Source organism: Homo sapiens, chromosome 7, assembly GCF_000001405.40.
Source record: "Homo sapiens chromosome 7, GRCh38.p14 Primary Assembly".
In the NCBI taxonomy this organism is placed as follows: Eukaryota; Metazoa; Chordata; class Mammalia; order Primates; family Hominidae; genus Homo; species Homo sapiens.
Genome location: NC_000007.14, coordinates 19,380,735 through 19,407,066, shown reverse-complemented (window position 1 = coordinate 19,407,066; position 26,332 = coordinate 19,380,735). Strand labels below are relative to the sequence as shown.

Here is a 26,332-nt window from a genome sequence, read left to right as displayed (position 1 = left end):
ATGCAGGTGGAGAAGGACGTAGTGGTGGAACAAATGGAAATTCTCTTCTGATAGATTTTATTTCCTTAGTAGAAAGGAAGGGGTCATCAGTTAAGATTGAGAATGGGAGATGAGGTGTTGGGGGTTTGGATGGAGAAGAAAAAGCATGGAGAGTCATCTAGAAGGGTAGGGATGGAAATGGGTTAGGGAAATAATTGCTATACTTCATTAACAGTCCAGCTGAGTTTGCTAATCATAAAATTAAAGTGTGACTATTTTTGTCTTTATTTTCCAGCCTCCTTCAGCTGCTTGGGTACATCCACAGAATTTACAGAGTTGGATTCAAGCCAAACTTTACACGTTCAAATGGTTAAAAATATTGACTTCACTTTTATTTTTCAGTTGTATCATCATGAAAAAGTGATACATATGAAATGTTCTTGATCATCAACAGTGCTAAATTACTCCAGTTCTAATCCCTAATTTCTTAAGCTGTACATAGATTTGCCTACGTAGATTGATTTAAATTGTTTCACAATATAGTATGTCTTTAAACCATGGGTCAGCAAATTTTTTTATAAAGGGCTCAATAGTCCACATATTAGGCGTTGTGGGCTATACGGTCTCTGTCAGGTATTCAATAGCTATTAATAAAATATTCAGATAAACTTAAAATTTGTGAAAACATCTACAAGGGTGCCTGGCATTAACAATGATAATTAGAACATTTTCCTTCAGTGGAATGCATAGTTGGAATCCTTGATGTCCAAGGGGTAATATACAAATCAACAGGATCAGCTTTACCTGGGAACTCATTAGAAATGCAGAATCACAGGCTTCACATCCTGTCTTATTAAAGAGTCTGCATTTTAAAAAGAGCCCTATGTGGTTGTATGCACATTAAAGTTTGAGAGCTTTAGTTCAGAAAGCAAGACTAGGATTTTCCATATGTGGAATCAAATAACCTGTAACAAATATCACAAAGTTAACAAAAACTGGAATAATATGAAGCAAAATGAGAGAAATAAGAAAAGAAGAAAAGAGGAAGGAATTCATTTCCTGATCAGATGTCCATCAAACAATAAATGGATAAATAAAATGTGGTATATCCATAAAATAGAAAATTATTCACCCATAGATGAATCTTGAAAATATTATGCCTAGTGAAAGAAGCCAGTCACAAATGGCCACACATTTTATTTCCAATTATATGAAATGTCCAGAATAGGCATATCCATAAAGACAGAAAATAGATTAGGAGTTGCCAGGAGCTAGAAAGAGGGAAGAATGGGAAGTGATGGCTAACGGGTATGGGGTTTCTTTTCTGGGTGACGAACATGTTCTGGAATGAGATAATGATAATGGTTGCACAACTCTGTGAATAAAAGCTAAAAACCACTGACATGTACACTTTAAAACAGTGAATATCATGGTATGCAAATTATATCCCAATTTTTAACATCCAAAGAATTGAAAAATGGAGACAATAATTTAAAAAGTGATGAAAGGTTTCCTTCCATGGCAATTTTGTGGCAATTGTGTTTAAAGAGTTCTAGAATTTCAGGAAGGAGAGATGAGCAGAGACTGCCGTTCCTATAAAACTGATTGAAACAAATATCTATAATCAGAAAGAGTTTTTCTTTAGACTTTAGGTGAGTTTGATAAGGATGAAAAACTGCAGAGAAATTGGTTTTCTAGTGTACCTAAAGTAACCTACCTTGGGCCAAGTTGGCAGGAAGGTTGCTGGCAACTACTCCTGAAAGAAAGAGAGGGAGGGAGACAGAATTTGCAAGTTTGGTATGTTACACTGAATGTAACTTGAGTATCTTCCTGTATTAACTAACACCACAGATCTCTGCCACCAACCCCACAACACCACACCCTGTAGCCACAAACAGCCTTCAGGTTTTTCCTCCCCGCCTTCATAACGGTCTTAAGCCCAACCACATAATCTGAATTGGAAGATTTAAGTTGTTTGTATATGCTCCAAAAGGAATCCCAACTGTTTGAGTGTTTCACATACTTCGGAGTCAGTAATCACACAGCCTGGGTGATGACTGAATGAGTCACACTGAGGAAAACACAGACTGAAGTTGAATCAGGACTACAATTTGCAGATGTGCCCTCACACCCACTCAAAATGGGAATCTCCACTTATTTAAAGCCTCTAACTGTAACTTAGTACCCATTCTCTTATACTGAAAATGTACAAAACCCACAGGTTTTCTGAGTTGAAAATTAGTTTTCAAATAAAGCTGAAAGTTAAGTAGCAAATTCTTTACATTTTGAAAAATATATATAAAGAGAGCAGTGAGTGCATTAGTTACTAATATTTAGCAAGCTGTGATTTTTAAGGTTTTTAAGGATAATTTTCATTTTAAAGTCAATAACACCAAGCTTATCTATTAAGGAGCAAATCTTATTTCTTCTTTTCCTGCACCCACAGTAAAATGATAGTGGTAGGACAGCGTATGATCACTTTCACAAGCAAAACCTAACTTCCTAAAAATTTCCATTTTGGGCTGGGCACGGTGGCTCACGCCTGTAATCCTAGCACTTTGGGAGGCCGAGGCGGGCGGATCAGGAGGTCAGGAGATCGAGAGCATCCTGGCTAACACGGTGAAACCCCGTCTCTACTAAAAAAAAAAAAGAAAAAATTAGCTGGGCTTGGCGGTGGACGCCTGTAATCCCAGCTACTCGGGAGGCTGACGCAGGTGAATGGCATGAACCCAGGAGGCAGAGCTTGCAGTGAGCCGAGATGGTGCCACTGCACTCCAGCCTGGGCAACAGAGCGAGACTCCATCTCAAAAAAAAAAATAAAAAATAAAAAAATTCCATTTTGGATTAACTCAATAATATAGTTAACTCATTTTGTAAGAATGAACGTAGGATGAGCAACGGTGACTTAGAAATAAAACAGATTATAGGCCAGGCGTGGTGGCTCATGCCTGTAATCCCAGCATTTTAGGAGGCTGACGCAGGCAGGATTGAGACCAGGGTTCAAGACCAGTCTGGGAAACATGAGGAAACCCTGTCTCTACAAAAAATATAAAAATTAGCTGGGCCTGGTGGCAAGCACATGTGGTCCTAGCTACTTGGGAGGCTAAAGTGGGAGGACTGCTTGAGCCCGGGAAGTCAAAGCTGCAGTGAGCCAAGATTGTGCTACTGCACTGCACTCTAGCCTAGATGACACAGCAAGCCCCTATCTCAAAAAATAAATAAATAAAAGATTATAATCTCTTAGGGAAATTCTGTTAAAGTCTCTTTTAGTCATAGGATGTTTACCATAGTTCAATAGCTTTAGAAGAAAAAGTTGCACTATACCTCTGTATATTCTTCTCGAGGGCTGGTTCTTATGTCAGTGAAGCAGTAAGTAAATGTTATCATCTCCAATGAAGAGAAGAGAAAGAGTAGATATTAAAGCTTAGAATATAAATCTAATGTGGAATGCCAAATAGATTTCATCATTTGAACCAAGAACTTAATGGTGGCTGCCTTGAACAAGGACTTGTGGAAGATTCTCAAGCTATGTCTAGTTCCCTAATCAATTAGATAAGTCTGCTACGAGCTTTAGAAGTGAAACGTGGGTAGAATTTCTATATGATATTTATTGCTCAGGTTATAATTTCAGTCCTGAATATATAATCCCTCTCAACCTCAGGTCACCATACTAAGTCAGGGTGAAAGCTCAGCCCTCAGTTAAAATGATTTTATGAAAAAAGAGCATTTTCAAGAAAACTAGAAATCATCAAAATGAGAATCTCTTGAGGAAAACTTAACAATCAAATGCCAGTTTGAAAAAAAATGCACACATCTGAAAAGTGGGTGAGCATCCAGAGAATACCTCCCAGGGAAGTTAATTTGTGTAGTCTAAGTATGCATGGTAATGCATCAAAATGCAAGTCCTTAGAAAAATAACCCGCCTTGTTGTTCTTGATTCTTGTCTGCTTTCATTTGTTCCTTGACTTTAGGACTCCCAAGATTAGTAGGGTCTTTGCTTAATGCTTTTGCTGTTTAGGTATTTCCTTATAAATTTGCCCATTTTTCTTAAGGATTTTTGTCATTTCTTCCAGCAAATCAAAATATTTGACATGGGATAATAATCAATCAGAACTACATCTTGAAATACATAATATATAGACATGCATGTTTGGTTTTATGAATAATGTTATATAGCTGTGGTCACTAAAATAACTTAAAATATACATTTTTTTTGTTTTACTTGTGCAGCATTTGCAATTTCAGTCATTAAATGAGCTTTGCAGGTGTGCAAATACCCTGTTAATCCTGGTGTTTTCTGAAAGACTGCTAGCCACATCAACCAATACTTTGGAAGACTGGCAAAATGGAGAAGCTTTTGCAGAACCCAACAATAAATTAATAAGACGAGTTGTATAACAACTGGAACTTTGTTGAGTTAAAAAATAAGACCACCTGAAATTTTATTTTTTAAGCCATCAAGGATTGGATTTTTAAATGCAAAACCAGATATGACCAATCTTGTCTGTCCTTTCCTTTTTCTTACATGTAAACATTATTTTCTTGATGGGGGGAAGTCCCTAACCTGTACTTCTCATTACAAAAATAATAATAATAATAACATTCAGACTGCTTTGTTGAGTTTTGGTCTGGGGTATTTCTTTTAAGGGGCACTTGTGTGCAGTAGAGAGAAACCATCTTTACATCTTCAGGGTGATGTGTGGCTTTTAGAAAATACCAATGAAACTACTTAGATGGCATGCAGAAACAAGTAAAAAAATACCTTTACCTTTTCAGTGTATTTTTAATGGTCTTTCCACACTGTTTTTAGCTGATCACACAAAGAGCTTTATAGTAAGAGTGTTCTTTACTGTTTCTACAATAGAAAAGTAATCTGCACAATGTGCACATGTACCCTAAAACTTAAAGTATAATAATAAAAATAAATAAATAAATAAATAAATAATAAAAAAAAGAAAAGTAATCTGATATGTAATTCCCATTGTAGAGTCAGCCTAAGCTGTGAACTTTAAAAATGTGTCAGTAACAGAAGTCAGGCTTTATATTACTTTGTAGCTGCCAACAATTCAGGTTATATTTTGGGCCCAAATTCTGTAAATTATGAAGGAAAATAATTCACTCAGTTCTACGTAGAGCTTGAGAATACCTCTTACACTTGGATGTCATGAAAATGACTGGAAAAATGGCAAGTTCTCAGGTATTATTGCCACCCCAGTGGCAGCCAGTTATCAATTGTTTTCAAATGATCCCATACATTTTTAGTTCTTATGAATTTGCAATCATTGACTCACTATGAATTTGGTAACCCTTTGTATAAATAATTCTCCTCAAAAGAGAGGACGAACTTAGCACTGAGAAGCATATAGGCATCTTAAACATCCTTTGAAGACTAGCCTAAGAGAATACTGTTTATTTTTTTGCTGCATGTGAAAGTTCATTCTCAGTATCAAGTTTATTTTGTCCACTAACTTTGTTAACCTTTCCAATTTCTTCAGTATTTGGTATCCTTTCACAAAGAGCTGTTAGGATAGAACAGTTGCATCAGGGTTAAAGGCCAGAGCCATTACCACGTTAACCTGAAGCATATATACTATTTCTTGAGCTCCCAATGTGTTTCTGATTACTTTTTTAAAATAAAAAATGCCAAGAGTATTATAGCATTGTACAAGGCATCTATAAAACCTCCTATATCTAGTACATGTTACGTAAATGTTTAAAATATTTCTATTTGTAAGGTCACTAAAAAGAGCAGGAAGAATGCAGTTTTTTTCATTAAAAGAATCAGTTTTGATGATTTTATGTTAGCTAACATAGCTGAATTTGTGATGAAATGAGAAATTTGAACTTTTTCAGAAAGTGATGTATTTCTACCGATCTTTTAAAATAATATTTATCTGAGCATGGTTAATGACTGAAACAATATCCATTCTTATTGAAATCATACCATCATAATGAATAACTAACTGAGAGATATTTTCTTGTAAAGATTTACTGCTAATCCCTTGGTCGTAATTCATTTCATTTAAGAGACATTCAGCCTATCGCTTAGAAACAGTATTTGCAGACTTCACCAGGGTAACAGCTCTAATCCTTAAGGTAATCATCTTTCACCCTCCTCTCCAGTTCTTTCTCCTTTTAAGTCTTCACTGGTCTTTTTAGAAAAACAAAAACTAGAAGACAGCTATTATTCTCCTCCATGGGATAGTCTACTCCATTCAGGCAAGTAATATCGTCTTCTGTTTACCTTCATCTAAAACAAGTGCACAGGGTCACCCTCTTCATGCTGATATTTTCCCAAAGCCAAAAGAAAGACTATGTCAGGAGACAGTCAGATTGCCAACTATAAGAACCTAAGAAGTAAGCTCCATTTGCCTTTTTATTTTTGTATTCAATACCCAAGGGAGAGGAGAAAGAGAAGATGATAAAGAGGGGAAGGAAGAGAAAGAGAAGGAGAAGGAGGAGAAAAGAAAAGCTATGTTTCTACATCAGAACTCATCCTAAATCAGTCTGAATGTCTTCTCTTACTTTTGCTAATATTCATTAACAACATTCCAAAGCATACTATGATCAGCAACAAGGCAAGAATAATTAATACTTCATTATTTTATTTAATACTGGCATTTTCCAATATAATTTCAGGCCAAGAAGTATTAGTACATAAAGAATGGAAAGTACTAGTACATAAAGAATGGATTACATGCTTTCATATACCATAGCAAAGGACAGGCTTTCATAAAGATTTTGTGTGTATGTTTATGTCAAAGAAACAACTGTCAAAAAGGAAAAGTATTTCAGAATTCTGTAGCAGGCATAGGTTCTTTAGGACCCTGAAACTGTTAGTTCCTTTTATTACTTTTTAGTCATCTACCCACATTTATCATCGGCATTGGCTAGAGAAATAAAAGTCATTCATAGCCTTGAACAATAATAGACAGTTGACAAATGCATGCAGTTTGGTAATGAATGCTAGCTTTTTTTCAAACAACTAGCCAAGGTCTCTGACATCAAAAGACCTTCTACATGAGGAAAAGATAAAATGTTGATCCTGAATCTCAAGTTTGTGCTCGGTTCTAGAAGTTATTTAAATTTCTATTTTTCAAAAACATAACTTTAGTCCATATAAATTTAGAAAAAAGCACTATTCTACTACCAGAAAATTTATTTGCAAACCACTTCCATGTGAGGCAATAAGAATTAATCTACATTTTAGACTTAGCATATGCTTCCAAATATTTGCTTTCTCCTATACCTTTTTATTTGAATCTGCCCATGATTCTAAGCTAGAAACCTTCAAATCTCTGACCTCCGCTGCCATTCGGTTTCCACATTATCTAAACTCCACCTCCTAATCTCCCTACTGTCCATGAATCTCCACTGCCATTGCCTTAATTCAAATTCTCATGGAATGCTGGGCTCAACTACCTGGTGGGCAAGAAAACCATGTTATTCTGGTGTCAGTAAAGCAAACACAATATAAAATATGAGAAAAGCTTAGGTTCAATGAATGTATGCAGAAATTTGAAATTTGAAGCTCTGGAAAGCAGTTATAATTATATAAATTGTGTGTTATTTTAATTTCAACATTTGTGTATGCTTTGTGTATTATTTTATTTTTATTTATTTATTTTTTTGAGATGGAGTCTTGCTCTGTCTCCCAGGCTGGAGTGCAGTGGCGCAATCTCAGCTCACTGCAAGCTCCTCCTCCCGGGTTCACGCCATTCTCCTGCCTCAGCCTCCCGAGTAGCTGGGACTACAGGCAACCGCCTCCATGCCCGGCTAATTTTTTGTATTTTTAGTAGAGAACCAGGTTTCACCGTGTTAGCCAGGATGGTCTCGATCTCCTGACCTCATGATCTGCCCGTCTCGTCCTCCCGAAGTGCTGGCATCACAGGCATGAGCCACTGCGCCCACCGTGTATTATTTTAAATCGTATAAAAGGGGCCCCTAGAATCTTTTCAGTGTTCAGGTCTTTTAAAATTTCTTTTCAAGCCTTTATCCATCCTTACTATCACCAGTGACATTTTTCCGAAAACTCACCAATTGTGTCACTTACTTGTTTAATGATCTTGATGGGTCGCTAACAACAGAAGGAAGTTTCACATGCCTTAGCTTCACAAACAAGGCCCTCAGTGGAATAGCCAGAGCTTGTCTTTTCAATCTTATCTTCACACATTCATCCTTTATCCATTAATCACACTGAACTGTAAGTTCTTCAGGCATAGATTTCTTTTCTTTAATCTTTCTCTTGAATTTTCCAATAGGATCTTATACATTGCTCTTCCTAAAAGCGCAGTGGCTCATACCTATAATCCCAGAACTTTGGGAGGCCGAGGTGGGCAGATCACTCGAGGTCAGGAGTTCAAGACCAGGCTGCCCAAAATGGCAAAACCCCTTCTCTACTAAAAAAAAATACAAAAATAGTTGGGCTTGGTGGCACATGCCTATATTCCCAGATACTCAGGAGGCTGAGGCAGGAGAATTGCTTGAACCCTGGATGCAGAAGTTGCAGTGAGCTGAGATCACACCACTGCACTCTAGCCTGGGTGACAGAGCAAGACTCCATCTTAAAAAAAAGAATAATAAAAACTAACAACAGGCATATAGTCATTAAGACTTCATTAAATTTAGATTATTTTCCTTTGGACAAGCGCTGACACTTCTTTTGCCTATTCTTCTTTGACACTTTATTCATTCAGGTTCCAAACAATCTTGCCTTTAATATGCTCTACAGATGACATTTCAACTGGCAACATCCTTCCTCAGATATTTTGTTTTTATAAAGGCAGGATGTGGCTTCTTCATTCTGACCTTTGGGCACTTATTATTATGAAAATACATAAGTGAATTATAAAAATCCATTTATTGACTCACATGTTGGTTCACCATATAAAATCAGCAAAAATGTCACCACAACTTCTACATACCACACCCCAAAAGGAGAAACTTCACGTACTACCATACTATTAAGTAGCCTCAGAGATCTCTACCCACTGTTTTAATGCTGAGTTCCACAATGAGGTCATGTGAACAAAACCTCAGGTTCCCACATAGGGTGGCTCACTGTTGAACGAAAGGGAGCTTTCACTTCCTCGAGCTGCAGATAGCCTCATGCACAAACCTTAGGAACAGGGCCAGACCAAGATCCGTGGGTACTCAAGACAAGCTAATAATTTAACATCCTTTTAAACCTATACTTTTCAAAGTCTAGCTAGATCACTATGTATTTAGAAAAGAGGCTGGGAACTCAGTAAGAAACAGAGAAAAAGCAGAAAAGGAGCATTCACACAGCTTCTCTTGTCATGAAAAATCAACATGAAAACAGCAAAACTCTGGGCTTGTAATGGTCACTTTTATGTGTCACCTGGACTGGGTCATGGGGCACTCAGACCTTTGGTCAAACATTTGATTGTTTCTATGAGGGCATTTTTGGATGAAATTAACTAATAAAGCAGTTGCCCTTCCTAATGCGAATGAGCTTCATCCAATCAGTTGAAGGACTGAATAGAACAAAAAGTTTGAACTTCCCCTGAGTAAGAAAGAATTCCTCCTGTCCAATGACCTTCAAACTGGGACATCAGCTTTTTTTCCCTGCCTTTAGACTTGAGCTAAAACATCAGTTCTTCCTGGGTTCCAAGAATACCAAGCTTCAGGCTGGAACTATACCATTAGTTCTCTTGCAAATAACTAATTCAGGAAAAAACAAAACAAAATGCAACATAATATTAAAAGAATATTAAAAGATGTAAAGGATGTTTATTTCCAAAAAGCAAGGATGTTTCCATATTTAAAAAAATCTATTAATTCAACATACAAGTAGATCCAAAGAGAAAAATCACACAATTATGAAAATGCTAAAAGAAGTTTGATAAATCATCTTTAATAATTTCCTATAAGTATGTATGTGTGTATATATACATGTGCATATGTATACACATACACACATATATACACACACCTGTATTTCAGGCTTAATGCAGAAATACCAAGAAGATCTTCAGTAAAGTAAAAATTGAGACAAATATGCCCACTACCTCACAATCATTTAACACTATATAAGAAGTATTAGCATTAGAGTTCAACTAGGAAAATAATCAGAAGCATAAAAATTAGACATACAAGATCAAAAATAGAATTAGCTAAACTGTCATGATTGCATACATAGAAAATCTAAGAGATTAAAATTCTAGAGAAATCAGTAAATTGGCAAGGACAATCTGAAATCAATATCTTTCATATAGACACACAATAGACTAGAAGATATAATGGAGAAAATTCCTTTTTTACAACAATGATTAACTGAAACAATAGAAATATTTTAAAATTTGTCTACTGATAAGCTTGCAAGAAATGCACAAGATCTATAGAAGGCAAATTTTAAAATACTACTATATTTTATAAGAGAGACTGGAAAAAATGAAATTTTTATAAAAGGAAACCCCCCCAAAATTTAAAGTAACTGATAAATTTAATGCTACTTCTATGAAATATTAGAAAGATGTTTCTGTTTCTTACCAGACAAACTGATTTTTGCATTCATATGGAAAACTAAAAACAAAGGATTAAAATAAAATAAATTATGGGAGAGCCTAGTACTACCACATTTTAAAACACATTCAAAAGCAATAGTAGTTAAAAGTGTAAGATAATAGTGCAGGAAGAAATAAACAGATAATTTGAAAAGAACAGAATGTCCAGGAATTAACCCAAATACATTTAGGAAATTGCAGTCCGAAGGTTGGAATTCAATCACTACAGGAAAAAATGAATTACTTAAGAAATTGTGTTGAGAAAGACAAATAGCCACTTAGGATAAAATATTTTTGGTTACATACCTCAAGTCTTATACAAAAGTAAATTTCAAATGTATCAAAGATTTGAATGTGATAAATTAAACTATATAAATGCTAGAAGAAATAATGTTAGCATGTTTTATAATCTCTGACAGTTAAAGACCTTTTTTGACCCCCAAAAAACTACATAAGACACTGATAACATTATTAGATTTTTAGAAAGGTGTGTTGGTTTTATTGATTTGTCAGCTTGGCTAGGCTATGTAAGGTCTCCAGTTGTTCAATCAAGCACTAATCTAGATGTTGCAGGTAGGGTATTTTGCAAACATAAATAAAATTTCTAATCAGTTAACTTTAAGTAAGAGAGATTATCCTGGATATTCTGCATGGACCTGACTGAATCCACTAGAAGGCAAAAACGCAGCAGAGAGATTTCCTGAGAAAAAGAGACCTTCTGCCTATGGACAACAGCCTCTAGCTGTTACTGTGGAGTTCCCTCCTGCTTGGACTCTTCCTTTCCTGACTACCTTGCTGTACAGGCTAATAGCTTAAGCCTCCACCTGTGGGTTTGAGACTGCCCATAATCTCACTCTTCCTGACTGGCTGCCCTGCAGATTCTGGACTTGCTTAGCCAGACCCCACAATCAGGTAAGCCGATAGATAGATAGATAGATAGATAGATAGATAGATAGATAGATAGATAGATAGAAAGAAAAATGTATACTACTACCTCCAACTGCTTCTTTGTTGAACCCTGGTTGATACAGGAGGGTAACTATGTGTTTAGGATGAGAGATCTAGGAGATAAACTTTTGGCTGTATCTACTCTTACATCTTTAAAATTGGAAAAATGTGAATATATTACAAATTCAACAAATAAACCAAATACATTTAGATAGTATGCCCTAAACACAAAGTATTGAAAGCTCTGCATTAATTAATAGAAATGTGTTCTAACGTCTTAAAAGGACTTACAAACCTGCTATTTCACTATTTTCTACCAAAATTAAATTCAGTATTTTCTCAAACCTTTGATAGTTGCTGTTTGCCTACACATGGTTCTACCCCTAATTCTATCTCAAGTACCTGCATTTTTAAAAATGTATATTGAAAACTTAGTATTTACCTTGACACATAAAAATGAGCATTGGCTTATTCCAAGGCTTCAAACTGACCTCCTAGCATGAATTGGCCTTCATTTATCTACTTGGCTTGCTCTCCCCAAAGCCCTACCTCTGCCAACAGCAGTACAGAATGGTAGAGAGCCCTGCTCTTAGAGTGGAGACATCTGGGGTTCAGTCTAACCATAACATTTATTAATTTTGTTATATATAATATCTAACCAAACTGCTCTAAATTCAGAATAATCTTGTGTAATGGTAATAGAAACAGTTGCTCTGTCCACACCACATAGCATAATAAACCTGGAAGCATTTGCCAACTGTGGAGTGCTGAGTAAATGCAAGTGACTGTTTTTATCCCTGTTAATTATTTTAGATTTGAGTCTACTTGCACTTGGACTGATGTAGCTACAAATCAAGAAGGAAAAGAAAAGAAAGGGGTAAGTTATTTGATAAGTTGCCCCGCCTAGGCTGCTTTCTTAACCTCATTTAGTATAGTAACTCCTGAAGGTAGGTTAACTCTGCCAGAGTTCCAGAACAGGTAAGAAGGGAAGCTAAATTTTAAAGAAAAAACTCTCCGGCTTTGAAGTTGGTACTACAATGGAATGGCCACACAAATAACTTTCCTTGTTTATTTATATATCACAAACATAAATATATATGTAAATTAACCCAAATCCTTAAACCCAAAGAACCATCAGATTAAAGTTAGTTAAAACAATGCTCTACATTAGAACCATTCAGTTTTTTTTTCTTTTTAATCTTGCCGTTTCATTTGTGTTGGTGTTTTGTATACTCAACAATAAAAAGAGACTGGTACTTCCTTGAGATTCCATTTGATAAGGAAAGAAAAATTAGACTAGAAGACTGAGATTGCATTAAAATGTCCATTTAGGTGGTTGAAGAGAAACATTGAACACTTTGTTCAAAATCATTCTGTTCACAGCCTTGTGGATTTTCTCAGAAATAAAATTACTTCAGAAAACAAATTTTTAAAAATCCCTCCGATTAACTATAGATTTATTGTAATAGGGCATACATTGGATTATATAAAAAAGGTATTTTTTTCTGAATGTGGGATGATACTATAAACATATGGCTTTTGCCGAATGTTAATTTTCTCTGGATAATCTTACTGTAAAACTAAAAACTATATTTATTTTTAGACTCACTTTATTTTTGAGGCCATGTATTAATATACTATTATAGTAATTATAATTGGATTTGTATTTTAGATCCAGATGAAGCTTAGTCATTTGAGTATCTACTATGTGCCATATCTATTTCTATTATTTCATAATTTTTATAATAATCATTTGTTGTAGTCCTATTTTTCTCAATGAGGTAATAGGCAGAGAGGTTGTGAATAAGTAAAGCCATATTACATATTTGAAATTTGCTAAGAGAGTAGATTTTAAATGTTCTCAAAAAACGGTAACTATGTGAGGTGATGAATGTTCTAGTTAACCTGATAGTAGTCATTTCACAATGTATATATATAACCAATTACAGAACTGTACACATTAAATATGTATGATTTTGTTTGACAATTATACCTCAATAATGCTGAAAAAACAAAACATAAACAACCAAACTGTATATCTAAAATAGGAGCACTTTATTACATACAGATTACACCTTAATAAAGTTGATTTTAAGAAAAACTGACCCTACTTCTTGGGACATGTCTAGAACTTTACAATGTGGTTAGAAAGATCAGTCTTCTTCATACCTTCAAGCTGTGAGACTGGCCTGCTTCTTTTAACTCATTTGTCCTACAAATAAGACAGAAGAGACTTCCTCAAGCAAATTATTTGCATCACTTCCCTGCTCAAATCCTTCTAACTATTCCCAATTATTTTAAAATCAAGTTGATACTTTGAATTGGGAAGCCAACAGTTAATTACTTGATTACTACAATTTGACAGAGCACTTATTTTCCAAACACATCATTCAGAATTCTGTCTTCTAATTACAAAGTGTCTTCCTTGTTTCCTACCAATTCTTCAGAAATTTGTTTCAAGTTCAACTACTTTCTAAAACTAGTCCAACTAAAGGCAAGTGCCTCACTTCTCCATGTTCACACACTCGCTCATGTGCACACACAAATGCCTATGACTGATCATGTATATATTTATGTATCTGTTTTTTGGTTGGTGGTGACTGTGTTGCATGTAACTTATGCTTCAAGCATCCTTTGTAAGTGCATGTAAAATACTGTAAAATTGGAGGCCTTTGTAAATTTTAGTTTCCATCCTTTTTACTTTTTTCTGATTATAAGCACCTTGAGGGCAGTGTTGCCATTTCCGTTTACCACCTGGCTGGCTATAGCTCTTCTAATATGGCAGGTGTTCAATAAATTGCATTGCATAAGGATCTGTGGTTGACTGATTAACTTCTTGGCAAATGAAATTTATTTAATATTCCCCTTGAGTTCACAAATGGTTTATGCACTTCACAAAGCACCTTTACTTAGAATCATTCTGGCCTTGCTTGAATCTGACCAATAACCTCTAAATAAAACACTAAGGTCTCTAAAAAGAAGACTGTCTTTTAGCCACATGGAGTATTTTCATTTTCATTACCCTATTGTTGCACACATATCAGACTGGAATATGGTTTACATACTAGAACCTTCCAACCTCCAACCCAGCAGTCTTGCACTGGTCTTTCTGTGCTCTGTTTTCTTTGTGAATCACGGATTAGTAGTGTAGCCTTTCTGACCTGCAATAAAACTCACACATTCCCTTAAACATATGCTACTCTACAATGAATTTCATTGAAGGAAAAAATACACGTGAATTCTACCTGACTGATTTTTTTTCAGCTTTGGGGTACTGTGGTTAGATCAAATAATGCAAGTTATGTCGGAGAGAGCCAGGAACTTCAGGCCTCCATAAATTCTGATCCTGTAAATCCAATGACAGAATTAGAATATTTTTCTTTGTCAAGGCTTCAACTTCTTTTTGTTTAAACATCAGGGCTTTCTAATCAACTTGCTATTGTTTCTCAGACAAAACAGAATCAAAAGTTATATTCTAAGGAAGGATGTGGCACAAGATAAATGATGGGAAATAAAGCTTACTACTGGAAAATACTCTTTAATAGTTTTCACTTGGATATCACACTTTTGTTTACTCTCTCTCTCTCTCTAGCACTAGACTTTGGAAAATACACATTATCCATACCACACCAGCATAAAATGAAGCCTGATTCTGTATGTATTAATACTTATTTACATTACGAAGTCAAACAATTTTTAAGTCACATTTAAATATGTTCATCATTTCCAAAGCTTTTTAAGAAAAGGGATATTATTTATCTATCACTAGAAAATACTGCTATGAAACTCTCCTCTGCCCTCTCCACACAAAGAAAAGATATATACACACATATTGTTTACCTTTTTCTACACAAAAACTCTGGAAGAATAAATTATTAAATTTTTAACAAAGTATTTCATGTATACTTCAGCCTCATTTTTTAAGGGAAGCGTTTCTATAAGTTATAGCAATTTGTTTCTATTATGAATACACACAAAGCACTTCTAATCTTCTTTTTGAAAGTAGACACTGGGGGGAGTTATTTTATCCCATCATGAATTATGGCTTTAAATTTACTTTGTTTTTAAAAATATTTTTAAAATTAATATACTTTGGGGTTTTTTGAGTAATTTTACATTCCCAGAAAAACTGGGTAGAACATACAGTTTCCATACATTATTATCCAACCCTCCCCACTTATAATTTCCTGTGTTATTAACCATTTGCATTAGCGTGGTACATTTATAATATTCTTTTAATATATACCTTTGGTAGCATTTATATTAATAATAATCTATGCTTAATAGCAGCTGAAAGTACATTTTTAAATGGATATTTTACCTTTATGTTAAAGATAAACATAAAGATCTATACAGAGTTACAACTATATATTTTTATGAGATATAAATAGTACATAATCCATCCCATTTTTATGATACTTTATAAGATTTTAAGCCTACCTTGATGCTTTTTGAAACACACACACACACACACACACACACACACACGCACACACAAAACTGCTTGTTTATTTTCTGAGGCCTGCGTGGGCACTTTACTTCAAAATGTGCTAATTGCTCTGACTTCGGCCAGGGCTCTTTGCTGGGCTGCACACCTCTGCCTGCTACATCTGTGTTTACATAACTTGTGGGATCACTCAGAGTCCTGCTGCAGGTCCCTTTAGCTTCTTTCAGGACCAGGCCTCAGTGAGTCTAACCAAAGTCAAAGTCACCCGGATCAGTTACTCCCGAGAGCTTACTCTGGTCAGAATCTACCTTTCACTAACAGTTTGATGCAAAATCATACACAACATATTCCCTCAACTGAGGACATATGGTTTGTACGACTGTAAATTTAAAAAGTAGTTGATAAATTACTTTGTAAGATCTTTACTATTAATTTCTGTCAGGGGACAGAAAAATAGCAAAGGGCATCTACCATTGTTGCAAAAACAACACTTCCTGCAACAGGATAGAACTCTCTGCAGTGTCATATTGAAATTAATCTTGCTCTCTGCTGGTTACTGAGTGCTATTCAAAATTATCCAGCTGAAGTTAAACAGAAATATTGTTCTTACATAAGAGTATAAAACCAAATTCATATATTTCATATATAATTAACGTCTGCAACACAGGTCTAATAATGTCAGCAACAAGACATGGATGGAAGAAAGACAAATATGTAAATATTAGAAGTCAGACCCACAAATATAATGAAATAAAAACTAGTTGGAAACTTATGCCTACTCTAATACAATGGATATATCATTTGTTGTGCTCTGGGGTGTTTTTTAGGTAAAGCACAAACTAATTTGTCAGTTTAAGTGCCTGACAAAGAATTCAAAATAATTGTATTAAAGTAGCTTATCAAGCTACAAGAGAACACTGTTATACACCTTAATAACATCAAGAAAAAAAATACACAAACAAAATGAAAAAATAAACATAGATATGGGAAAAAAACAACAGGCAGAAACACTGGAATTGAGGAATACAAATGAATGAAATTTAAAAGGCAATAGAGGGTTTCAACAGCAGACTTAATCAAATAAAAGAAAGAATCTGTGAACTCAAGAGAGACATTTGAAAATATCTAGTCAGAAGAGAGAAAATGAACAGTGAAAAGGGATGTACATAAAAAGCCTGTGTGATTCATGGGACACGTTTGCATTACAGGAATTTCATAAGATAAAATGACAAAAGCTTATTTAGCTCAATAATGGCTGAAAACTCCCCAAATCTACTGAAAGATACAACCATCTAGGCACATGAAGATCAAAACTCTCCAATCAGGTTCAGCCCAAAGAAGACTTCACCAAGACATTTTATAAACAAACTGCCAAAAATCAATGACAAAGAGAATCTTAAATCCAGCAAGGGAAAAGTGGTTTGTCACATACGATGGAAACACCATAATGGCTACCAGATTTCTCCGCAGAAACTTTGCAGGCCAGGAGAGGTGTAATAATATTTTTGAAGTACTGAAAAAAAAAAAAAAAAAAAAGGCCGGGTATGGTGAGTCACGCCTGTAATCCCAGCACTTTGGGAGGACAAGGTGGGCAGACCACAAGGTCAGGAGATGGAGACCATCCTGGCTAACACAGTGAAACCCCATCTCTACTAATACAAAAAATTAACCGGGCGTGGTTGCACGCACCTGTAGTCCCAGCTACTCGGGGGGCTGAGGCAGGAGAATCGCTTGAACCCAGGAGGTGGAAGTTGCAGTGAGCCGCCCGCTGCCCTCCAGCCTGGGTGACAGAGAGAGACTTCATCTCAAAAAAAAAAAGGAAAAAAAAAAGAAAAAGAAAAAGAAAAACCTGCCAACCAAAAATAGTTTGCCTGGTAAAGCTGTTCAGCAAGGGAGAGATCAAGACTTTCCCCAACAAACAAAACCTGAGAGAATTCATTATTACTAGACTTGCCTTACAAGAAATGCAACAGGAATACTTCAAGCTGAAAAGATGGATTCTAATTAGTGAAATAAAGTAATATGAAAGCATAAAATGTACTGGTAAAAGTAAGTATAAAGTCAAATTCAGAATATGTAATACAGTAATGGTGGTATGTGTATAACTTATAGCTCTAGCATAAAGGTTAAAAGACAAAACTATTAGAAACAAATAGAGCTACAATAATTTGTTAATCAATACACAATATAAAACTATGTAAACTGTGTCACTGGAAACGTAAAAATTCGGGAAGAGAGTAAGTATGTAGTTTTCATATGCAATCAAATTAAGATATTAGCTTAAGATAGATTGTTAAGATTATAAGATGTTATATGTAAGCCTCATAGTAATCACAAAGCAAAAAGCTACAGTAGATAAAGCAAAGATAAAGAAATCAAACCATGTCATTAAAGAAAAGTATCAAATCACAAAAGAAGAAAAATAAGAGGAGAAAGGAACAAAGGATCTACAAAACAACCAGAAAATAAATAACAAAATGACAATAGTAAGTATTTACCTAAAAATAATTACCTTGAATGTAAATGGATTAAATTATCCAGTAAACAAAACATAGAGTGGCTGAATGGGTTAAAGAAAAATATATACAAGATCCAGCTATATGCTGCCTATCAGACTTACTTCAGCTTTCAGACAAGACTGAAAGCGAAGGATGAAAAATGATATTCCATGCATATGGAAACCAAAAGAAAGCAGAGGTAGCTATACTTACATCAGACAAAGAAGACTGTAAGTCAAAACTGTAAAAAGAGAAAAAGAAGGTAATTATATAATGACAAAGGGGTCAATTCATCACATATATAACAATTATATATATGTGTGCACTTAACAGCAGAGCACCCAAATATGTAAAGCTAATACTAACAGAACTAAATGGAGCGATAAACAGCAATATAATAACAGTAAGGGACTTCAATACCCTACTTTGATCAATGGATAGATTATCCAGACAGAAAATCAATGAGGAGACATTGGACTTGAACGATCTCAACAAATATATACAGAACATTCCATTCCACAACAGCAGAATACGCATTCTTCTCAAGCATAAAACAGAATATTATCTACAATGGATTCTATATCAGGCCACAAAACAAGTCTTAGCAAATTTAAGCAGAGTGAAAGTAGGTATTTTTTTCCAACTATGATAGTATAAAAATAGAAATCAATAACAGGAGAAAAATTGGAAAATTGACAAATATGTGGAAATGAAACATGTCCTTTTACCCAAAGATAACAGTCTTTTATCCAAAGATAACAGCCTTTGGATAAAAGCTATCTTAATTGATGTGAAGTGATATCTCATGGTGGTTTTGATTCGCATTTCTCTGATTGGTGATGCTGAGTACCTTTTTATATACCTATTGGCCATTTGTGTGTCCTCCTTGGAAAAATACCTATTTAGTTCCTTTGCCCACTTTTTTAGATCAAAGATGTTATCACTTTATATTTATTTTCCAAAATCATGGAACCAACCCAAATGCCCATCAATCAACAAGTGGATAAAGAAATTGGTATATATAAATACAATAGAATATTACTCACCCATAAAAAGGAATGAATTAACGGCATTTGCAGTGACCTGAATGAGATTGGAGACCATTATTCTAAGTGAAGTGACTCAGGAATGGAAAACCAGACACCGTATGCTCTCAATGATATGTGGGAACTAAGCATGAGGACACAAAGGTATAAGAATGATACAATGGACTTTGGGGACTTCGGGGGAAGGCTGGGAGGGGGCAAGGAATAAAAGACTACAAATAGGGTGCAGTGTTTACTTCTTGAGTGATGGGTACACCAAAATCTCACAAAGCACCACTAAGGAACATACTCATGTAACCAAATACAACCTGTAACCCAATAATGTATGGAACAACAAAAAAAAATTAAAAAGGCTATTATCAAAAGTTCATGGCAGCATTATTCACTATAACCAAGATACGGAAACCACCTGTCTCTTGATGGATAAATGGATGGATATATCGTGTGTGTGTGTGTGTGTGTGTGTATGTGTGTACACAATGAAATATTAATAAGCCTTAAAAAAAAAGAAGGTCCTCACATTTCCAACAACATGAATGAACCTGGAAGACATTATACTAAGCGAAATAAGCCAGACCCAGAAAGACAAATACTACATAATCTCATTTATGGGTAGAATTTAGAGACGTTGAACTCAGAAAGAGAGAGAATGATGGTTACCAGAGGTTGGAGGTTGAGGAAATGGGGAGATTTTGGTCAAAGGTTAAAAAATTTCAATTAGACAGGTTGAATGAATTTTGGAGACCTAATGTTCAGCATGTTGACTATCAATTTTAAAAATGCACTATATGCTTGAAATTCAGAGACACTAAGAAGGTATGTCTTAAGTATATAGGCATGTTCATTAGCTTCATTGTGAAAATTATTGAACAATGTGTATGTTTATTAAAACACCGTGTTATACTACTTTAAAAGAAAGAACTCATTTGTTCTAGTGTGGGATTCTTTTAGGTAAAGCAAAAGCTGATTTGTCCACAAATTTAGAAGCAACACTTTACATTTAAAGAACTAAGTAAAGCACATACAAATTAATAACATGCATTTCTAATAACATAGGAAAGAATTATAATTAAGAACTTTTAATACAGTTCTAAAAATATTAATAAGTCATTGACTTTGTGGATTGATATGTGTTTATTTTACATTTTTAATCCTTTGAAAGTCTTTATACAAATCAGTGGTCTTTAAAACTGACCTGCTAGTATTATACTCATATAGGTTGACAAATTCATTCCCTACCTATCATGAAGTAGCATTAAGATGAAACATACATTTTGTTAACTGTCTTTTGTTCAAGGCAGTTACTGCTGTTCTATATCACTGCAAGTAATTCAATGACTATATGAGATATTTTCTCTTTAAAATATTGCTCAAAACTCACCTACACAGAATATGTGAGGTTTAAAGAAATATAATATTGATCATCTTGAAAGGAGGCTGTTTAATACTCATTTTAGCAAATATTTTCACCAAAAATGTGTGTTACATGGTAGAAATAGCCTATATTATGTCCTTGCAATAGAATTGAATTCTCTTTTTTTTTTTTAATTATACTTTAAGTTCTAGGGTACATGTGCACAACGTGCAGGTTTGTTACATATGTATACATGTGTCATGTTGGTGTGCTGCACCCATTAACTCGTCATTTACATTAGGTATATCTCCTAATGCTATCCCTCCCCCCTCCCCCCACCCTACAACAGGCCCCGGTGTGTGATGTTCCCCTTCCTGTGTCAAGTGTTCTCATTGTTCAATTCCCACCTATAAGTTAGAATGTGCAGTGTTTGGTTTTTTGTCCTTGTGATAGTTTGCTGAGAATGATGGTTTCCAGCTTCATCCATGTCCCTACAAAGGACATGAACTCATCATTTTTTACGGCTGCATAGTATTCCGTGGTGTATATGTGCCACATTTTCTTAATCCAGACTATCTTTGTTGGACATTTGGGTTGGTTCCAAGTCTTTGCTATTGTGAATAGTGCTGCAATAAACATACGTGTGCATGTGTCTTTATAGCAGCATGATTTATAATCCTTTGGGTATATACCCAGTAATGGGATGGCTGGGTTAAATGGTATTTCTAGTTCTAGATCCTTGAGGAATCGCCACACTGACTTCCACAGTGGTTGAACTAGTTTACAGTCCCACCAACAGTGTAAAATTGTTCCTATTTCTCCAAAACAGCATGGTATTTCTACCAAAACAGAGATATAGACCAATGGAACAGAACAGAGCCCTCAGAAATAATGCCACACATGTACAACCATCTGATCTTTGACAAACCTGACAAAAACAAGAAATGGGGAAAGGATTCCCTATTTAACAAATGGTGCTGGGAAAACTGGCTAGCCATATGTAGAAAGCTGAAACTGGCTCCCTTCCTTACACCTTATACAAAAATTAATTCAAGATGGATTAAAGACTTAAATGTTAGACCTAAAACCATAAAAACCCTAGAAGAAAACCTAGGCAATACCATTCAGGACATAGGCATGGGCAAGGACTTCATGTCTAAAACACCAAAAGCAATGGCAACAAAAGCCAAAATTGACAAATGGGATCTAATTAAACTAAAAAGCTTCTGCACAGCAAAAGAAACTACCATCAGAGTGAACAGGCAACCTACAGAATGGGAGAAAATTTTTGCAATCTACTCATCTGACAAAGGGATAATATCCAGAATCTCCAAAGAACTCAAAAATTTACAAGAAAAAAACAAACAACCCCATCAAAAAGTGGGCAAAGGATATGAACAGACACTTCTCAAAAGAAGACATTTATGCAGCCAAAAGACACATGAAAAAACGCTGATCATCACTGGCCATCAGAGAAATGCAAATCAAAACCACAGTGAGATACCATCTCACACCAGTTAGAATGGCAATCATTAAAAAGTCAGGAAACAACAGGTGCTGGAGTAGAAATGAATTCTGATGAATGTTAGTACTACTTCTTCATTGGCTTTTGGCAATGTTAGTAGCTCAGAGAACAGATTATAAGGGTATCAGAAAGCCCATTTAACCTTGAGGGTGGCTCAGTGAGGTTGGATCCAAGGCTAAAACAGAAGGAAGGATGATGGACCTCTCTGACGTGACACATGGTGGTGCCCTATTTACTGACTAAAAGGCTAAAGCCACGCATGTGACCACCTTACAAGCCATTGTTCCTCTTACTCTCTATGACATGTACTTGGCTTCTCAGCAGAACACATCTACCCTGGCAATACATCCAGCCTTCTGCCGAACTGGCTCAAATTAAAAAATAATCATAAGAATAATAAATAAATAATAAATAAAAAAAATTTATTCTATATCCGAAAGTGCACAAGGTGTTAGGAAACTAAGGTTCATTGCATGTTAATTTTAACTCAACAAATTCTTGTTATAGTGAATGAAATATAATACAGAGAAAAAGTAATAAATGTTTCATATTTTATAAGACCTAAGGATTTTATGTGAGATTTTTTATTTAGTTTTTACTCAAGAGAAAATTTTAAATCTTTAGTTTTATTGACTACCCTCTTAGGAGATTTCTAATATGACTTAGAATTTTTTTCCCAAAAACTTTTGCCTATAATAAGTATTAGATATTAATTTTCAACCATCAGTAGGTAACTTTTTCTTGGTGTCATCGTAAGTTGGAAGATGAGCTATGTGCCTTTTATAGATAATACCAATTACCTATAGCTTACAAGTATTGTGCTTTACTGAAGGCTCTTTAGGACCTCAGGATTATGCTTTCTATCAGCTATTCTATATATACACATGATAAGCATTTTGCTACTTTTTAAGATTTCTTAACACTATACAGAAATGTTTTTTTTTCTTTTATCTTCTTTTCACAACTATTTTCTAATTTGAGGTTATATGCTTTTGTACTTGCCTATGATTTTTCTTTCATACAGCCTTCCCAGGCATTCTGTAACTCTATGTCTACCCACTCAGCCAAAAGCAAGTTCCTAACTCTGAAAGTCTAAGATTTTAATTATTTGGTCATGGCATTATTGACAAGATATAAGAAAACAGGTTTGCAGAGACTTAGGTTGCAACAAAAGTTACATCTACAAACCTTTAAGTAGTATGTGTGCACGTGTGCATGCACACATGCACACATGTATATAAGTGAAGGGAAGCTTTGCTTCATTTACACTTGACCAAAAAAAAAAAAAAAAAGATTATCTAGCGTATTTCATCCACGCACTGTTTTAACAGCTTTTAGAGTCAGTTTTCACTTTTGCACCATTTGGGGTTTATGTCTAGGAAGCATCCTCTGGCAAAGGCTGTGCAATATTTGTGAAAGGAGTAGCACATAAGTTACCAATAAATCAAATGAACTTTACATTTGAAGTCTATAAAGGAAATTAGAGTGGTTTACATCATGGGTGAACCAAGACTGACATTATTTAGAAGCATTAGATTGGAAAGATAAGGAAAATCTACATCCTCTTTTGCAGAGGGACTGTTGATAATGGTAGCAAGAAAAGAAAGTGAGAGAGGCGGGGTTTCATCAATAGTACAGAATGCAAAGGCCACATTGTTTACCTGCACTTTCCAAAAAAAGGAGAGTTTTGTTCCAAACCAGTATCATAATTCTCTTCAGGTAGATGGTGTGGCCATAACAATCTAATCATGGAAAGAAAATAGCAGTCAAAGCTTTGAGAAGAGTACAAAAGTTTGAAGGGAATGAAAACTAAAACTATATGCAGACCAGCATATGCTTTATTGCTGCTAACTTTAGGGCAAGCTCTCAAAGTGTTTTTTAAATTTAATTTTTACTGGTTCTTGATGAAATGAGAGCAGACATGGACTGCTAAAACTTTGTTTTTACAGTAATGAAAAAAAGCTGAAAAGGAAATAAGCAACTACATTCATTTTTTAAGTCAAATGACGAATCCTGCCACATATTTCAAAAGCAGCTAAAGAAGAGAATAAAATAACAGCTAATTTAATCTGATTTATTTGAAAACCTAGATGTGTGTGCAAGCTTTTAAAACCATGGTTTAACTCATGCTGCGTTTTAATTTGATATCTTTTCTTTTGAATTCAAACGCACTAAATTCATAGTATTATCTTCTCTGTAAAACTTACATATATTTATGTTTCCATGCATAATTTAAATTCCCTTGTCCAAAATAATAATCAATTGTTTTATCAGAACTTAGTAGCAACCTAAAGAAAAATAAAAGAATCCAATGGAGCACTTCCAGTTATTATGTATGGACATAGCTCTGAACAAATTCATATTTATCTGTTGGGGGACCAGGTATTTTTTTGCAAGTCTCACGTCACCTGTTAAAATACAGTAATATGATACTTCCAGAATACAACTGCCTAGTGGAGTGAAGTTTATTTGTAGGATGATGTTGTATTTAATTCCTTATTTTTTTTTCTTACTTACTCAAAATGGCCTCTAAATCTGATTTCAACTGTTTTACATAGGTTAATCCTTCTCTGACAGTGGACAAATGTTTGCCACAGAAAGAATCACGATTAAACTTATCAATAAAATAATATAGAAATAAATCATTCAATCTACTTCCTCCTAATTTTTCTATCCAGAGCTCCTTTTCTAAGTCCCTTTGGCCATAAAACTCAGTGAATCTACTAGATAACAGATAGCTGATCTAGAAAGCTGTTCATTCTACCTTGAAAAAAGTACTTCCTGCTAAAGTTTCTAATTTATTTTCAGTCATTAAGGAGACCATAAGAGAAATTGAAAGTCATGCTTAGCTATATTTCTTGTTTTATACTTTTTTATCCACTTTACATTTAATGCATTTTCCTCTTATTTTTATAAAGTGTCTGCATCACTGACCTGTTCTTACTTGCGGTAAAAGTTTGCAATTTTTTTTCCCAAAAGTAATATATGTGTTTGGTAGAATATCAATTGTTGAATTGATAAAGGTATTTTTACTCTTGAGATTTTTTGGTTTACTCTTCTTTTTACTATTACTACAAGAGGGAAAAAAAGGCATATCTACCCTAGGTTTAAAATTTTCCTTGAACTCTGAAAACTTTCCAGCTGTATCTTAAAAGGAGACTTTGGCTTTTGACTCTCTTTCCTGTCTTATGGATAAGAGCCTAGCTGTTTTCATAAACAGTGACCAGCTGTTCAACTTCTAATACTGTTCAACTATCTCCTACTTTTCACAGGAAAAATACATCTTGATTGCATCTTCTTCTCCCGCCTAAGTTAGGAAACTCATTAAAGATTTCAATTTATAAATGCTTCCTTAAGCTGGACATGCAATAAATGTATTCAGCTGCTGGTGTAAACCTAGAAGTTGTCTGTAAGTTTCAACAACCTCCTTGTAGTTATTAAGCAGATTGTTTGGGGATATTTTAGAATCTTTAGAGTAAGACACTATCAGTGTAAGAGGACAGCTGAGGGACAAGTATACGTTGAGCATTTATGAGAAATAGCCTAACCATGTAAATTTGTTTCATGCAATTAGCAAAGTTGGCTACATGGAAATGTTATGGAAGCAACAGATACTGCTTGTCTTTACTGCCTGATCCACCATGTAAGGGCCTTAAGAACAGTAGTACAATTGTATGGGGTGAACAAACTAATTGTCACAGCCATTCTATCTTAATGAATAATCAGAACACAGCGAATATAAAACTCTAAGTTGACCCATCACATAGTAATCTAAATGCTAAATGCTTTATTTATTTTAATTTAATTAATTAATTTATTTATTTATTTTTTGAGACAGAGTCTTGCTCTGTCACCCAGGCTGGAGTGCAGTGGTTCAATCTCGGTTCACTGCAACTTCCACCTCCCGGTTCAAGTGATTCTCGTGTCTCAGCCTCCCGAGTAGCTGGGATTATAGACACTGCTACCATGTCTGGCTAATTTCTTGTGGGTTATTTTTTTGTTTTTTGGT

General features: G+C 34.9%; 1 long non-coding RNA gene across 2 annotated transcripts, besides 1 other annotated feature; it reads right to left on the bottom strand.

Annotated features, from left to right (window-relative positions):
* Positions 1 to 1,163: 1,163 nt before the first annotated feature.
* Positions 1,164 to 26,123, bottom strand: LOC105375179 (uncharacterized). 2 transcript variants are annotated; one of them, XR_007060244.1, is made up of 6 exons: positions 23,985 to 26,123; positions 18,612 to 18,639; positions 13,623 to 14,799; positions 10,492 to 10,524; positions 3,304 to 3,366; positions 1,164 to 1,735 (listed from the first exon to the last, which is right to left on the bottom strand). It is a non-coding gene; the product is annotated as an uncharacterized LOC105375179 (long non-coding RNA). The 2 variants fall into 2 exon arrangements; XR_007060243.1 differs by lacking the exon at positions 10,492 to 10,524 and having other exon boundaries at positions 13,623 to 13,665; positions 14,699 to 14,799.
* Positions 25,654 to 25,854: a silencer, noted in NCBI's record as "peak6420 fragment used in MPRA reporter construct". NCBI's record gives its function as "represses an SCP1 promoter by STARR-seq MPRAs in K562 erythroleukemia cells {active_cell/tissue: K562}" and the evidence as "EXISTENCE:reporter gene assay evidence [ECO:0000049][PMID:32103011]".
* Positions 26,124 to 26,332: the final 209 nt, after the last annotated feature.